The sequence below is a fragment of the Homo sapiens genome, chromosome 1, assembly GCF_000001405.40.
Source record: "Homo sapiens chromosome 1, GRCh38.p14 Primary Assembly".
Lineage (NCBI taxonomy): Eukaryota > Metazoa > Chordata > Mammalia > Primates > Hominidae > Homo > Homo sapiens.
The window spans coordinates 159,779,875-159,796,013 of record NC_000001.11 but is presented as its reverse complement, the minus strand read 5'-3'; the positions used below and the strand labels follow the sequence as shown (position 1 = coordinate 159,796,013).

The 16,139-nt window shown below is 46.6% G+C and overlaps 1 protein-coding gene across 3 annotated transcripts, besides 3 other annotated features; it reads right to left on the bottom strand.

The window, feature by feature from the left end:
- Positions 5,346–5,723: a transcriptional cis regulatory region, noted in NCBI's record as "candidate enhancer chr1.9322 targeted for multiplex CRISPR interference". NCBI's record gives its function as "positively regulates DUSP23 gene expression with high confidence in K562 cells {active_cell/tissue: K562}" and the evidence as "EXISTENCE:mutant phenotype evidence [ECO:0000015][PMID:30612741]".
- DUSP23 (dual specificity phosphatase 23) lies at positions 13,471–15,052 on the bottom strand. Of its 3 annotated transcripts, none has more exons than NM_001319659.2 (3): positions 15,014–15,052; positions 14,647–14,915; positions 13,471–13,861 (listed from the first exon to the last, which is right to left on the bottom strand). In NM_001319659.2, the coding sequence occupies exons 2-3, from the start codon at positions 14,911–14,913 to the stop codon at positions 13,676–13,678; spliced, it is 453 nt and encodes a 150-aa protein (NP_001306588.1). In that variant the 5' UTR covers positions 14,914–14,915; positions 15,014–15,052; the 3' UTR covers positions 13,471–13,675. The 3 variants fall into 3 exon arrangements, with proteins under 3 accessions (NP_001306588.1, NP_060293.2, NP_001306587.1); NM_017823.5 differs by having other exon boundaries at positions 15,021–15,052; NM_001319658.2 differs by having other exon boundaries at positions 14,647–15,052.
- Positions 14,160–14,736: an enhancer, noted in NCBI's record as "H3K27ac-H3K4me1 hESC enhancer chr1:159751068-159751644 (GRCh37/hg19 assembly coordinates)". NCBI's record gives its function as "activates a minimal SCP1, AML or CMV promoter by ChIP-STARR-seq in primed H9 embryonic stem cells {active_cell/tissue: H9 hESC(primed)}" and the evidence as "EXISTENCE:reporter gene assay evidence [ECO:0000049][PMID:30033119]".
- Positions 14,728–15,117: a silencer, noted in NCBI's record as "silent region_1454". NCBI's record gives its function as "represses an Ori minimal core promoter by ATAC-STARR-seq in GM12878 lymphoblastoid cells {active_cell/tissue: GM12878}" and the evidence as "EXISTENCE:reporter gene assay evidence [ECO:0000049][PMID:35858748]".

Sequence of the window (16,139 nt, the reverse complement as noted above, 5' to 3'; positions counted from 1 at the left end):
ATTTCTCTCTCCACTGGATTTTTTCATCTGTATACGGACATGCACAATAACATCCAAAGCAAACCAAACCTCTCCTTTGCCTCACTCATCTTTTTCAGCTTCCTCCCCATCTTTCTCCTCCCTTCCGTTTGGGCCGGAAGACTCACCCATACTCACTCTTTCCTCTTCTGCAATCCCTACTCACTCCCTAATAGTGGGTGATCTGGCCTTAGCTCCCACCACTTCACTGAACTGCTTTTGCTAACGACACAAAGGCTCCTGTGTTGCTGGCTCCAACAGGGGATTCTCTGCCCTCTGCTGACTTGGCCACTCTGCATTTGAACTGTTGACATTTCACGTTCCACTCTGAAATGCTTTTCTGTCTTGGCATGCATCACGTCCCCCTCTCCTGATTCTCCTGCCTCACTGGCCACTCCTTAGTCTGTTTGCTGGATCATCCTCTTTCTCCTGACACTAAATGCAGGGATGCTCAGAGTTTGCTATTTACACTGTCTCCCTATTCTCATGGCTTGAAATCATATGCTGGCGACACCCAAATTTATATCTCCTGATCTGGCTCAACCTCTCCCGAGGATCTTGGACCTGAATATGCAATTGCCCAGCTCTACTCCTCCACTTGGGTGGGTCACAATCATCTCGAACTTGACATGTCCAAAATAAAACTCTGTCCCTCTCCTCCTTGCTGGGAACGAATGAACAGATGCACAGACAATTCTGGCCATGGTTCCTGCTCTCATCCCCACCAGTCTTCTCAGCCAGTAAACAGCACCACCAGTTACTGAAATCCAAACCTCAGAGTCATACTTCACACCTAACCGATTCCCAAGTTCTATTGATTCCTCTTCAAAATATATCTCAAATTCACCTTACTCTCTCCATCTTTTCTGCCTCCATTACAATGGAGTTCCCCAATGTCCTTTGCCTACATTACTGTAAAGGCTTGTTAATTCTTTTCCTGGCCTCTGTTCCTACCCTCCTTTTTTCCATCTTGCACAGAGCAGACACAAGTAACCCAATCAGTGTAAACAGATCAGTGTAAATACTCCTCTGGCTAAAGCCACCCCCACCTCCATGTCTCTCCATTCCACTAAGAATAAACCATCCCCTCTTTTATAGCGCCCTGCATGCCCAGCCCTGTCTCTCTGGCCTGCCCTGAGGCTATGCCCCCTCTTACTATGTTCTGGCTGATGTTTCAGCTCTGTCAACACAGGGAGCACCTTTCTCTCTTAGGTGCTCTTCTCTCATTCTCTCTCTCTCTCCCTTTTTTTTTTTAAGACGGAGTCTCACTATGTTGCCCAGGCTGGAGTGCAGTGGCGCGATCTGGGCTCACTGCAGCTTCCTCTTCCCGGGTTCAAGCTCCTTCCTCAGCCTCCCGAGTAGTTGCAGTTACAGGCGCCTGCCACCATGCCCAGCTAATTTTTGTATTTTTTGTAGAGACAGGGTTTCACCATGTTGGCCAAGTTGGTCTTGAACTCCTGACCTCAAGTGATCCACCCTCCTTGGCCCCCCAAAGCGCTGGGATTACAGGCGTGACCCACTGCACCTGGCCCACTCTTCCCTTTGTCTCAGAGGCTCTTCCCCTACCCACTACCTCTCTTCCTGCCCTTTCTAAATAAATCAACAAATAAGATAATAAATAAATAAATGAATATTATTAAATATTCAAAAGCAAAAGGCATATGAAAGAACATATGAAACATTCGGGTACTCATCACCCAGCAGTTTTTAATTTGAAAATGTTGCCATATTTGCTTCAAGTTTTTGTTTTTCTTAAAGAAATAAAATAGCGCAGTATCAGCTGAAGTCCCATATATAATCCTCCCCAATTCTATTCTTTCTCCCTTCACATAAGTAACCCCTGAACCTGGTATTCATCCCTCCCAAGTGTGTTTCCATACTTTCACGACATACACCTGCACTGATCAACAATATATGGTACTGTTTGGAATAGTCACAATTTTATGTAAATGGTATTTCACTGTGGAGGACTCTGCAACTCACCCTTTTCCTCAGCCTTGTTTGTGAGATGGATTCACACTGACATGTGTGGCTCTCATCATCTCCACGGTGGAATAGTATTTCATTGAATATACAAGTCTGATTTTATCTACTCTTCTAATGATGGATAATGGTGCCATTTTCGATTTTTGGCCATTATAAACAACGCTGCAAAGAATATTTGCACACGTCTCCTTGGGCACATGTTTGAGAGTTTTTCTAGGGTAAAATGTTAAAAACAGAATTTCTGAATAATAGAGTATGTGTCTCTTCAGCTTTACTAGATAGTGCCAGATTGCTCTTCAAAGTGGTTGAGCAAATTTCCACTCCCACGGCAGTGTGGGTAAATTTACGGAGCTCCACACTCTCACTGACTTAGCTGGTGGTGGGGAGGGGGACAGAGCAGGCACCCAGCAGTTTGCTGAGATCTAGGGCAGCAGCGGCAGGAGGGGGACTCTGCTCTTCTCTCTCCCAGTTGTCCTGTCCAATGGTCAAGTGGCTGGTGGTCAGGATCCCAGAGGCACATTTAGAGCAGTGTCTGGCACCTGAGTCACTGGGAGATGGGGTCTTAATCCTCCTCTCCCCTAATTCTTTTCTAAAATTTTAAAGCAATACAAAACAAAAGCTTCCCTATCTTGAACTAAAATGAAAAAGGACCCAATGTGCTGCAACAAACATCTATATGCTTAACATCCTAAATATACATGGCTAACATTTTCACATATGCATTTGCTTCAGATGTTTTCTTTTTAGGAAATAAAGCACATTTCAGTTAAACTTGAAGTTCTCCTTCCTGGTCTTTTCTCTCCTTTCTTGGAGGCAGCTAAGATTCTGAGTTTGGTAGGTGTCCAGACCATTTATTTGTGTAACATATGTATGTATCAACACACAATTTATAGTATTGTTTGTTTTTATTCATATAAATAGTATTTTGTACCTGCAAGTTTCTTTCCTACCCACCCAACACTGTTTCCAAAATACATCTGTCTTGATACTGGTATCTCTAGTTGAGTGTTTGTCCATTCTCCTAGCAATATATTTTCAGGTTGTTTTCAGTTTTTGGCTATTTCAACAAAGCTGTATATACACTCCATGGAGGCAGACATTTTGCTTTTTGTTAACACTCAATTTTTAGACCCTAGAATTGTGGCTGGCATATAGTAGGTGCTCAATACAACACACGTTGCGTTAGTGAATAAGTGAGGAGCCTCATACATGTCGCTAACTTACTCAAATGTAGAATTTGTCTGCAAATATATATATATATGTGTATAGTGAAGTGGCTGGATTTTGGGGTGAACTAATCAACGCATCACTCTCCAAGGTTACTATACTGATTTACATATCCTCAGCAGTTTAGGAGTTCCTGTTTCCCCTTAGCCTTGCTAACTTTAGTATTTTTTGATTTGGTGTGTGTGAATGTGTCCGTGTGTGTGGATGTGTGTGTGTGTGTGGGAGGAGGGTGGTGTATGTGTGTCCAATCCTGCTGTATATAAAATCATATCTTATAGTTGTCATTCTTATTATTTGTAGTGTCCTGGTTTCTTTCTGATTTGCCTCACCTGGGGATCCCATTGACTTCCCTTGTGGCCTCCAGGTTATTAAAGGAGCAGAGGTGGGTTGGGGTGGGTTGAGGGTCCTCTCAGGAGTGTGGCCTGACCCCTGCATGGGCCTGGAACCCTCCATGTCTTCCCAGCCTTCCTTTGTCCCTGGAGGAATTTGAGCACGGTGCCAGGGCAGATCTGGGACCACAGGATTGCAGAACAGAATGTGGAGACCCAGGCTTGTCCCCTCTTCCCAGTCCCATCTTGGGCTCTGCAGTCCCCTGTGAGGGACAGGAGAGGACTCCCTGGTGCCCGTGCTGGTCTGTGATTTTCTACGTCTTCAGGTGAACAGTGCTGACCAGGAGATGCCTGAGTTGCCAGACTCAGCTGCCTTGACTTTTCCAGGACCTGGGGTGTTCCTCTGTGGGGAGCTGTCTTTGCAGTCCCCAGGCCTCCCCTCCTCAGCACACATCATGCCCTCTGTTTACAGAAAAAACATACCACCTGATCTGTGTGGCTTTTTAGTACCTGACAAATTGATCACTATTTGGAGAAGAGAAGACAGGTTTGAGGGTAAGTGGACAGACGTAGTGACAGAGAAGGGGAGGGAGTAGGGATGTAACTGAGGCAAAAATTTTGAAGGCTCAGGACACCCCCTGACCTGGGACAATAGGGAGAAATGCTGGACTGAGTTGCAGCACCTGGGGTCGCTGCCTCTGTGGACCTGTGAATTGGGTCGACTGAGATATGGCAACATTCCAAGATTTAAAATGTGAATGCAGTGAATCAGGCAGAGCAGTGGGTGTGCAGGAGGCTGTGCCAGCTGCCGTCTGAAAGACATATATTTCTAGCAGGCAGGGATGACACTCACTTGAGATCCTTTCCCATTTGAAAAGCATTAAAAAATCATAACCTGCAGGTCCAGAGGGTGAGCACTCTGACTTAACAACCCTTTTACTTTCTTTTGCAAAGCATTGAAGTCATTAACTTCCAGCAAGCAGGAAAAGCAGGTTCTTACTTAACTCTTATCTTCTGAAAAGCCTTAAAAATCAGCAGCCGTGAGACCCTGTCTCTCTTTGGCAGTGTTAAATCATAATGCGCCATATTGTGGCTAAGTAACGGAGCCATTCTGTCAGAGTGTAATTTAAGGAAAATTGGACCTAGTGACATGTCCTCCACTCAGAAAACTGTGGTGACTCCACACTGTTTATCAGATATGATCCAAACCTTTTTGGCATGAGTTTTTGCTGCCCTTTCACTATCTTCACCTAACCATGCATTTCCTGCTACCCACTGGATGAGGTTTGTACTTCATCTATGCCAGTTGACTCCCCATATTATTTCCTCCCCTCACTGATACTTATTTGTCCTATTCTTCCCTCTGTCTAAGGCTCCCCATATGGACTCTGCACCCAACACATAACATTGGTATTTTTAATAACATCCAGCATTTGTGTATCCCTTAGGCTATCCAACCTCACTCTCCACATCTCTTTGAAGGTTCAACTTTTTGAATTTCACTCCTCTTATCTCTTTAATCACTATCCCATTGCTTAAGTATTTATGCATTGCATATTGGCTAATTGTATCCAACTTTGCATTTACACTTAGGAGGGTACATATGTCATGTATTCCTCCACTAGATTATCCATTCCCTAGATTTATTATTTTCTTCCCATTTATTCACCTATGTGCAGATACCCAGGTAAGTGACAGCACATCAGTTAGTCAGTCATCATCTGTTTATTGAGTATTGAATATTGATGTGCCAGGCATTGTACTGTGCTAGAGGTATGCACATGGTCCTTAGACTGTAGCAGCATACAGAGTAACATCAAATGACTAAATGAATTATTATTGGTGAGCAAAGGGCCTCAAGGTAGGACAGATACTTTGGGAATACATGGGGGCCTGTTGGAAACCTTTTCCTGAAAAAGTGATGTTTAAACTATGACCAGTAGGGGTCAGTAGGAGTTAGGAGCTAGGCAAAGAGCTGGTGAGCAAAGCATCCCACCTGCCCAGGCTGTCACGTGGAGAGGGCACAAAAAGTGTGCAGGAAAAGTAGTGTGGAGTAGTGTGCAGTAAAAGATCAACTCAGCAGGCCTGGATTGCCCAAACCCTGCACATTCCAAGGGTCGTTGAGACTGCCCTTGATTAGCTTCTGAGACCTCTGAATTCTTGAAATATCCTGCATGGTAAGAGTGTCTTTGTATACCTGAGACCATGAGCCAGGCCAGATGATTTCTGCTAACAATGTGACTTATGGTGAGCACCTGTTTGTATATGCCTAGGCTGCTTCGGGCCATATTGTTTCAGTCTGACCTGTGTTGGGGCTGGAGACTGAGTTATGTGAATGCTGCATGTCTACGTGACTGACCCCCTGCTACCTCAACAAAACAAAACTAAACTAAACTAAACTAAATAAACTAAACTAAACTAAACTAAAAACAAATGCTGGACATCAAGGCTCAGGTGAACATCCTTGGTTGGCCATATTTTGTATGTGCTGTCATACATTGTTGCTGGAAGAATTAAGCACTGTCCATGTGACTTTACTGGGAAAGGACAACTGGAGGCTTGTGCCTAGTTTCCTCTGAACTCTGCTGTATGTACCTTTCTTTCTTTCTTTTTTTGAGACGGAGTCTCGCTCTGTCGCCCAGGCAGGAGGGCAGTAGTGCAGTGGTGTGATCTTGGCTCACTGCAACCTCCACCTCAGGGGTTCAAGAGATTCTCCTGCCTCAGCCTCCCGAGTAGCTGGGACTATAGGCATGTGCCACCACCCTGGCTAATGTTTTTATATTTTTAGTAGAGATGGGGTTTCACCGTGTTAGCCAGGATGGTCTCGATCTCCTGACCTCGTGATCCACCTGCCTCAGCCTCCCAAAGTGCTGGGATTACAGGTGTGAGCCACTGTACCCAGCCCGTACGTTTCTTTTTTGTTGATTTTAACCCACTTCCTTTCATTGTAATATACTATAATCGAGAGTATATCAAGACAGGGTAATATTTTGAGAGGAAAGAAAAGAGTATAATAGCTTTTTTGAGTTCTGTGAGTCCTTCTAGCAAAACATCCAACCTGAGAGTGGTTCTGCAGACCACCAACACAGGCAGAGAGAAGAGAACAAAGCCTGTGGGAGAGAGGAGTATATAAGGTGAGGAAGGAGATGAAGAAAATGATTGGATTCCTTAGGTCCTTACAGGTCGTGGTCAAGAACGGCATGGTTCTGCCTGTAGGCTTGATACCAGTGTGGCTACTTTAATTCTATTCCATGGCTCTAGGCTGCACCCAGCCCCAGCTAGATCTCAGGAAGTGTACCTATGGAAAACATGCAAATCAGTGAATTTCACTGGGGTGGGGGAGCCCAAGGGCACACAAAATCTAGTGAAGAAGATAAGTGGTGTCACCTGTGGGATGGTGCATGGATTAATGTTTCCCATGGGGTCCCTTTGAGTTTGGAGTAGAGTCGCTAACGCTCAATGTATATTATTAAAGAAGATTCATTGGTGTGTTTACTGTAAAAGTGAGGACTGGCCAGGTGCGGTGGTTCACGCCTGTAATCCCAGCACTTTGGGAGGCTGAGGCAGGCGGATCATGAGGTCAGGAGATCAAGATCATCCTGGCTAACACGGTGAAACCCCATCTCTACTAAAAATACAAAAAATTAGCTGGGCGTGGTGGTGGGTGCCTGTAGTCCCAGCTACTCGGGAGGCTGAGCCAGGAGAATCACTTGAACCCAGGAGGCGGATGTTGCAGTGAGCCAAGATTGTGCCACTGCACTCCGGCCTGGGCGACAGGGTGAGACTTCATCTCAAAAAAGAAAAATAAAAACAATAATAATTTAAAAAGTGAGGACTGAGCTCTGATTTTTTTTTATCTTGCCCAAATTCCTATCTAAGGGGCCTGGGGACTCATGACCTTCAAACCACAAATTCTCATCAGATGGGTTATATTTAACCCTATATATTGTGACTTACTTTCCAATGTGACTCTGGCATAACATGATGTGACAAAGAAGAAGGTCAAACTATTTTACCCCAAAAGCATGTTTCTTTGCCATATTTTGAAATGGTCTTGCAAAGCTGTCCTTTGTGGGGGGACGTGTGCATCTGTAAAGAATCTCTATTAACACAGCTAGATCTTTTTCTTCCAGGCCCCCCAATCCTGAAGAGATTAAGTAAGAATCTAGTACGTTTTAAAGGCCTGAATAGGAACCATTTGTCATCTATTATCTCTAAGAGCAGCCACTATAAGATTTCAAAAGAACCTTAGTATCCACAATCTTTTATCTTTTTTTTTTTTTTTCTGAGACGGAGTCTCACCCTGTTGCCCAGGCTGCAGTGCAATGGTGCCATCTCTGTTCACTGCAACCTCCACCTCCCATGTTCAAACAATTCTCCTGCCTCAGCCTCCCGAGTAGTTGGGATAACAGGCACATGCCACCACGCCCAGCTAATTTTTGTATTTTTAGTAGAGACGGGGTTTCGCCATGTTGGCCAGGCTGGTCTTCAACTCCTGACCTCGTGATCCGCCCACCTTGGTCTCCCAAAGTGCTGGATTACAGGCGTGAGCCACTGTGCCCGGTCCACAATCTTTTATCTTAACCTGAACATTTCCTTTCCATTGATCCCAGGTCTTTAGACAAACTCAACCAATTGTCAATCAGAAAATGTTTAAATTTACCTGTAGCCTGGAAGCCTCCTCCCCACCTGCTTTGAGTTGTCCCACCTTTCTGAACCAAATCAATGTATTTCTTAAATGCATTTGATGATTGATGTCTTGTGCCTCCCTAAAATGTATAAAACCAAGCTGTACCCTGACCGCCTTGGGCACATGTTCTCAGGATCTCCTGAGGGCTGTGTCACGGGCCATGGTCACTCATATTTGACTCAGAGTAAATCTCTTAAAATATTTTAGAGTTTGACTCTTTTTGTTGACAAAAGCTAGCAGGGAAATAATCCCAGAACTGTTTGCCATACTGAATGCCACACATTGAAAACATCACTAATTTATTTCATGATTATATATCTGTGGTGACAGAGTAAGTCAGTGGAAAAATAGGGTGAAAGAGTTGTCAAAGCAATTTAAGCAATTTATTGGCACAAGAAACTCTGTTATCAAGGTTGCAAATAAGTCATCAATTTCAGGCATGGACATGCACCAAAGTGTTTCTTAAATTTCTGCTTGCTTGGACAAGCTGACTTCTCAAGAGCATGCCTCGAATCCATAATAGCCAGAGAAAAATTTTAAAGTAATGGAAGAAGTGCTTATGTAATTTATTTCTAAGTCAACAGGGGATTATATTTTTGATGGTGTTGGAGGCTTGAGGCAGAAGCCTGTTAGAGATGATGACTGTGCTGGCAGCCTGCACGCTCCCAAGTCAGAGTTATGCCACTGAACATTGAGCAGCAGTGCTGGGGAAGCTGTGTGATTGGAGAGCTCCACTGATGGCCCTGTGAGTCCAGATGACTCCATTCTGGGGAATACGAGATGCTGTTATATATTTTCTAATTACAACAAAGTCTATTCTCTCTCCTCCCAAGAGTGAAGGCAACCGGCGGTTTACAGCTAGACAGCCCAAAGTTTGAATCCTGCTCAACTCGGTGACTGTGGGCAGATCACCTAAACTCTCTGGGTCAGTTTATCCATCTGTGCACTGGTTATTGTAATGCTTTGTTCACAGGGTATTTTCTGTTTTGTTCTGTTTTTTCTTTTCTTTTCTTTTTTGAGGATGGAATGAGATAACGTCTGTAAAGCATTTGGCACAGTGCCTGGCACGCATTAAGGGCTCAAGCAACAAGAAAACAGAAAGGGTATTAGGGTTTTCAGTAAATCATCAGACATAAAAAGACATTTTTGAGGGCTTGATACCAGACACACAGGCCTTAAGACTGTCATGCCAGATAAGGATATCTGTTTGCTTTGAATTAGATAATAGTGGATGTGAGAGAACCACCCTGATAAATCAGTGTCAATATTTTGCTCTTAAATACTCGGGCCACATTTTTAATTTATTTTTATTTTTTATCATCCAGCCCAAAATGTCACTGGGCCACATTTTAAGGAGAAGCACATAATTCAGGTGCTATTGAAGTGAGTGTCAGATGCAGCGTTGTTCTTTGGCTTCCTAAGAGAATAAAAAGGGTGGTCACTGGAAGCCATGTTGATGAGACGGCCCATGAGGCCAAGCTCTAATCATGAAGGTAGATGCCTTTATGGGCTGAAGCCAGGAAAAGTCTTGGCAAGTGGGATGCCTGGCCAAAGAAACATGAGCTCTGAAGTTACAACTTGAGTTTGAATCTCAGCTCCATCAACAGTGAGTGGCTTAGGGCATGTTATTTATCTCTCTAAATCTCAGTCCCTTCATCTATAAAAAGGGGGAAATACATGACTTGCAGAGTTGTAAGGATAAAATAATATAACACAATGTATGTAAAACACCTGCTACATGGTAAGCACTTTGTAAATGATGGCAATTATGATCCTATAAGTAAGAAAAGTACGGTCATGACAAAATGCAAAATGCATTTGTGGTAATTGACATTGTTTTGTGACAAAGCAATCCTGTGACACCAAATTCTCAGAAAGAATGGCAGGATACAGACAGCAGAACATTTGATTTGAAGCTTGGCACACGGGTGCAGTTCATTCTGGGAAATGGTTTATGGTTTAGATCAAATCTCTGCCCCAGGTAATGTGCTCACCATTGCCCCGGGAAGACTAGGTCTTGGGGATAATGCGGGGCAGGTGGGACCTCCTCAGCCAGAGGAAGAGCAGTGATGAGCCTCCTGTGGACAGGAGCCCCAGGTGTTATGAATGGGTCAGGATGTAAGGGTGATGACCAAGTATGGCTCCAAGGGAGGTGTGTGCCAGCCTCAGTGTATGCAGTGTATGCAGGAAATAGGCCTCAGTGGCCTATTTCCCCACTCCAGTCCTCTCTAGAGCAGGACACCTATGTTGGGATACATGGCTTATGAAGCAGTCATGGAATCCAGAACCCAGAGAGCAAAAGGGCCCCAGTCAGGGAAGGATGAGGAGGAATCTTCTCAGAGAAGGTGCTTGTTAAGGTTAAGGTTTAAGGCTGGTGCTCCTTCTGACTTGCTTCCAGTTGTTTCTGCAACTGGATAATTTTCTGAAAGGGGAACCCAAGAGGTGACTACTGCAGAGCCCCAATGATATGAAGGAATGTTTTCCAGATAGAGAAGCCTCCGTTCACCAGAGAACTCTGATCACGTACCAGAGAATAAACATGAATTAAACGTAAAAAAAAATGGGGGTGGGAGTAGATGTTACTGCAGCTGTGCCCATCAGCAGCTCATTGAGAATCAAAGTCTCCTGAATATGGAAAGTTAGCGGTGTCTATCACTGTCTTGGGAAACCAGCCAGGAAAAAGGCTGACGGACCAGGGATGGCTACCAGACATTGCTTGAAAAGGTAGGAGGTTTGAGTTGGTCCTTTCTGTCCCATTAAGATGTGTGCATCCACAGGAGACATTACCAAGTATGTTCCCACCTCCACTCCCAGAGGAAATGAAAGCCAATGACTGCATCCAGTGCTTGTTGGTCTCATGCAGTTCTCAGCTGAGGCTGATTTTGCTCCCCCAGGGAACATTTGGCAATGTCTAGAGACATTTTTGTTGTCACAACTGGGGGGAGGAGGGGTATCCTACTGGCATCTAGTGAATAGAGGCCGGGCAAACTGCTAAAGATCCAACAATGCACAGACAGCCCCAACAACAAAGAATCACCCACTTTCAAACGCCAATCGTTGAGATATCCTGGTTTGAGGCGAATGTTCTTTTTAGATGGTGGCACAGATCATCTATCTCAGCGTAGAAAGGGAAGGGACATGGCTCGTCTGTTACCCCTTATTGGTAGCCATAGACATAAGAGGGCTTGGTGAGAAGACAAAAACAACTGGGAGTGGAAACGAGCCCAAAGGAAGCCACAGGCTAACCCACCAGGTAGATGGAAGGATAAGGGCAGAGTTTTTCATTTCAAGCCAACTCTTATTATTTAAAAAGCAGTTTCCTTAAGCACTTAATTATACGTGTATTTCCCTAAGGAACTCTTGAGGCAGAGGAGACTTGCTTAAATTATGGGGATGGAGGCAGTACACAGGGCTTTAATGGGGTTAGCAAAATTTTGTTTCCCTTGCAGGAGCCTTGGGAGGAAGGGAAGGGCATATTCCTCTTCCACAGTGCAGAGATGTGGGGAGGATGGAGTGACACAGGAACAGAGGCAGAAAGGGCAAGGATTGGTTGTATGGCCTAGCAGGTGAGGATCAGAGTGGAGACACGAACTTGGGGAAGCTTCATGCCTCACACCTCTCTCTCTCTCTCTCCATCCTGGTAAGCCCTCCGACTGGAGGGGAGAGGTTCAGGAAGTGGCCCATTCACACCCTTCATGCCCTACTCCCTTCACATGAAAATACACACACACCCCTTTGGAAGATGTTCTGGTTTGCATCAGAAACAGAATGGGGCCATACTATTGGGGGAGGGGTGGATGGGGGAGAGCAGGGTAGACAGAACTTTTGGTGACAGGAGGGTAAGGGTTTCAGTGCATCCTCTATTTGCATTCTCATTCCTCTGTTGCAGCTGGAATGCCTGGAATGTGTGGGTTTCTTCTCTTTGGGAGACATCCTCACTTGAGTAGGCTAGGTGGAGACTAAGCTTGAAGGAACTGATCACTCAGATTTGACAAATAAAGTTAAACTGGGGAGAGGGCATCTTATGGCCTTAGATTGGCAAGACTTCAGCTGATATCTCTTGTTTAAGGTTGAGTTGGACAGGGATGAACTGGGTGGTTAGTGGTGGAAGGGGGAAAGCAGCAGAAAGGAGGACCAGTTGGCTAGGCCTGTCTCTGGTCTATGATACAAAAGATGAGATCTACAGGGGAACCCTTGACTCCCCACTCTTCTATGTCTCCACTGGAACTGGAATGCATGTCTACAATAGCATCCATTGTCTGTGGTGGACTCTATCTGTGCCCATCTTCTCCAGCAGGCTGAGCTCCTGAGAGCAGGAATTATGTCTCATTCCACTGTGCGGCCTCCAGATCTAACAGAACTCATACAGGTACGTACAGGAACTCACATATTTTATGGTGAATTTCTATCTTATTCAGCCTGCTATTGCAGAAAAGACCACAGGCAGACCTACAGTAAAGAGTCCATTGGGCGGATATATGCCATTCTTCCCATTTCTCATAAGTCAAAAGTGTAGTGGTGCTGGCAAAACAGGGCCCAACAAGGGGGCAGAATGGGGTCCAATAGGGGATAACTGGAGATAACATCTGAGAAACATGGCCAAGATTTAGAGCCCTGGAACTCTTCATTTAATTGTTAAATATCTGCTCTGCATAACTGCCTAGATTGGCTCTGTTCTCAGGTCCTTTGGCCTGAGGTTGTGGGGCAGCAGAATGAGCCAGAGAGCCCAGATGAGCTGAGCAGCACCTGAGGTTGGTAAGAGGTGACCAGCCCTGTGGAGGTGGAGATGGTGGTTATCTGTGAGTGTGACATCCAGGCTGTCTCTACCCCCAGATAAACAAGGGTGACACGTGTGCAGCAGGTGGGCCTACACGGAGGGGCCTCCTGGCCTGTGAGCATCAGAGACCTGGGAATGCCAGGAGGCCAGGCTATTCTGGACCTGAATCCTTTTCATTGACTAGCTCCCCCAGAAAACACATCAAATATTGTCAGGGAACAGATACATAGCATTTCAGCATCTTCAAGGGATTGAAGACGTGTGTTGCTGTTCTGGCCCATCCTTCCACTTTCTAGAAGTGTTGAAGATGGGCCTCTCTGAGCTTTGCCCACCTCATCCAAAGAACAGAGATGGCCCATCTGTCTTTCCTGTATCACAGGGCTACAGTGAGGCTGAAGTAAGTTAATGTGTGGGAATGCTTTATAAAGTACCATGCAACGTGCCCTGGTTCGTAAAACTCATTTATTCAACAAAGCAGTACAAGCCTCCCCTTCAATCAGGACCTGCCTGCAGGGGTGGGCTACTTCAGTGTCTTCAGCCAATGGGAGCTAGAGGGTTTAATACTTTAGTCCACTTCCCTTCATCTCTGGCCCCATCGACAACATGGGGAAGGGGAGTGAGGGCCTGGTAGAAGGGTACTAAGGCCCCTTATTTCGTTCGCTGGTAGAACTGGAAGACTGCTTTCTCCTGCTCATAGGTCTCGATGGAGCCGGGTCGTAGTCGTCGGATTTCAGCAATGGCATCTCCTGCAGCCAAGCCCCGCTCCTTCACCAGGTAACAGGCCAGCATGGTGCCAGTGCGGCCAAAGCCCAGAGCACAGTGCACTCCCACAGCCTACGAAGAGGGGGCTCGATGGGTGCCACTCAACTCCCCCACCCACAACTGTTTCCTGCCCCTCACTTGGTTCTCCCCACAGCTCCTTCTTCTGTGCCAGGTCCAGGGCTCTGCAGCAAAGTCAGGGAGGGCTGTCCCTGCACTAGGTGGCTAGGAGGCCTCTGCACTGGCTGGTTCAAGAGCTGTCCACCTCTACACAGCCCTCCACCTGTGGTGTTCAATACAGAAGACAGTAGCCACGGCTACTGTGGCTACTGTACTCGAAATGTGGCTAGTCCAAACTGAGATGTAGTGTGAAAAACGCAACAGGGTATGAAGAGGTAGTAGAAAAAAGAATGAAAATATCTCATTAAGATCACCAAAGTTAATTTTATCTGCTTCCCTGCTTTTTAAGAATGCCGTTGCTAGAAAAATTAACATTACATGGAGCCACTTAGGTTCCATTATATTTGGACAGCTTTACTCTAGAAAATGGTAAACAGCCTCCACCTGACTTCAACCCCCACCTCTCCCAGGTGTCTGTCCACACCCTTCTCCTTCACAACTCACAGTATTAGCTGGTTTTCACTGCCTCTCCTCAAGCCCAGTTCGCACTGCTTCGCCCTCTCTTTAGTTCCTTCCGTTTAGCGCTTCCCTCCCCCGCACTGGCTTCCCAGTCTCCCGGCCCTACTGTCTGCCTCCCCGAGCCCAGTTAAGTTATCCCAGGCCCGGTCTCCCCAGCTCCGCCCGTGTCCCCCGCTGACCTTCCAGGCCCCTCCCTCCCTGCGCTGACCCCGCCCGCTGACCTCTCCCCGTGCGTTGGCCTCGTCCACGATCTGCACGAAGCGGTCGATCTGGTCGGGGGCCGGCGGGCAGAAGTCGGGGATGCGCAGGCGGTGCAGGGTGAGGCCGGGGCAGCTGTCGCTGTGAGGGGGCCCGCGCTCCGTCAGGGACACCAGGTGCCGCACGCCCAGGTCCAACAGGAACTGGTAGTGGGCGGGGAGCCGCGGCAGCGCCAGTCCCGCCAGCCGGCCCGGAAGCACCCAGGAGAAGTTGGGGGGCTGCACGCCCATCGCTGGGAAAGGGCACAGGACAGCGGGTCATGGGGGCCGAGGCTGGCCAGCCCCGCTCCGCCCACGCGTCCCCTCGCCCGCTCCGAGCCAAGTAACTCACCACCTACCTGGCCTCGGCGCCTCCCGGGCCACGTGGTCTGCAGGGCGCCGCCCTCGGGTCGCTCTGCCCAGCCGCGGGGATTGGCCCAGAACCTGGGGCGGGGCTGGAACGCGGAACCCAGTCTCTGAGCGACCGAGGGAAGCGCCGCGATCCCGCCCCGTCCGAGCAGATCACGCGGTGATTGGCTGGATCATCATAATGGGCGGGGGGTTACTTCCACGGGGTTCAACCCACTCAGCTAAGAAGGAAGACCTGGAGCGAGTTAGGAATTGTTTGCTGCGGATGGAACAACCCGGGGTCGGGCTCTGCTGCACCCTGGCGGCATGTTGCAGTCATTGCGTCACTGGCGCCTGCCCCTGCCTCCTCGCGGGCCGGCCTAGTTCTACCTCCTTCACGCTGGATGCCCTGGGGTTTAAGAGATGACAAATCGGCTTTCTCCCAGGACGAGGAGTCTCCTCTCTAATGATTGACTGGTCGTTATCAGCGACTTTTTGAACTGTTCCAGTAAGAGGGAATTACTGCTGCAAGGAGGCTATTCTCATTTTTTCATTGCTGGAACTATTAAAAACTTACCCAGGGTAATAATTATAGTAATAATAATAACCAGCACCAACTTCTCCTGTCAATCCAGTTGCTCCTCAGGACTTATTGAGCATTTATTATGTGCTAGATAGTCTTCTAAGCACTTAGCACATACTGACTCATTTAATTGCCACAGTAATCTTATAAGATAGGTGATCTAGTGAATCCCATTTTATGGATGAAAAAACAGAGGCACTGGAGAGGTTAATAAACTTGACCAAAGGATGATGACTAATGCCTCCAAAATCTTTAATAATATCGCCATTTCCTAAAGTTAAATGGAACATTGTTTTCTCTTCACATAACCCCCTCATGTCCCCAAATATTATCTGGGTTAAACGCTTGTGGGTTTTCTTAATTTTTATTAGTATTTCATATTTCTTCATTTTTCAAGGTTTCCTAGTTCTCTGGGTCACTGTCCCCTGGGCAGGCTAGAGTTGATTAGTGTTGTTCTTACTAGGTGGGGGCCCCTAGATCTGAACACCGTTTCCACTGTCATCTGACCAGTCCATATCCTCATTTGAATAATGTGCTTCTAGCGATG

Coding starts and splice junctions, on each gene's coding strand:
- DUSP23 (NM_001319658.2), bottom strand. CDS start 14,913: ATGGGCGTGCAGCCCCCCAACTTCTCCTGGGTGCTTCCGGGCCGGCTG. Junction 13,862..14,646: donor AGGCCAACGCACGGGGAGAG/GTCAGCGGGCGG, acceptor CCCTCTTCGTAG/GCTGTGGGAGTGCACTGTGC.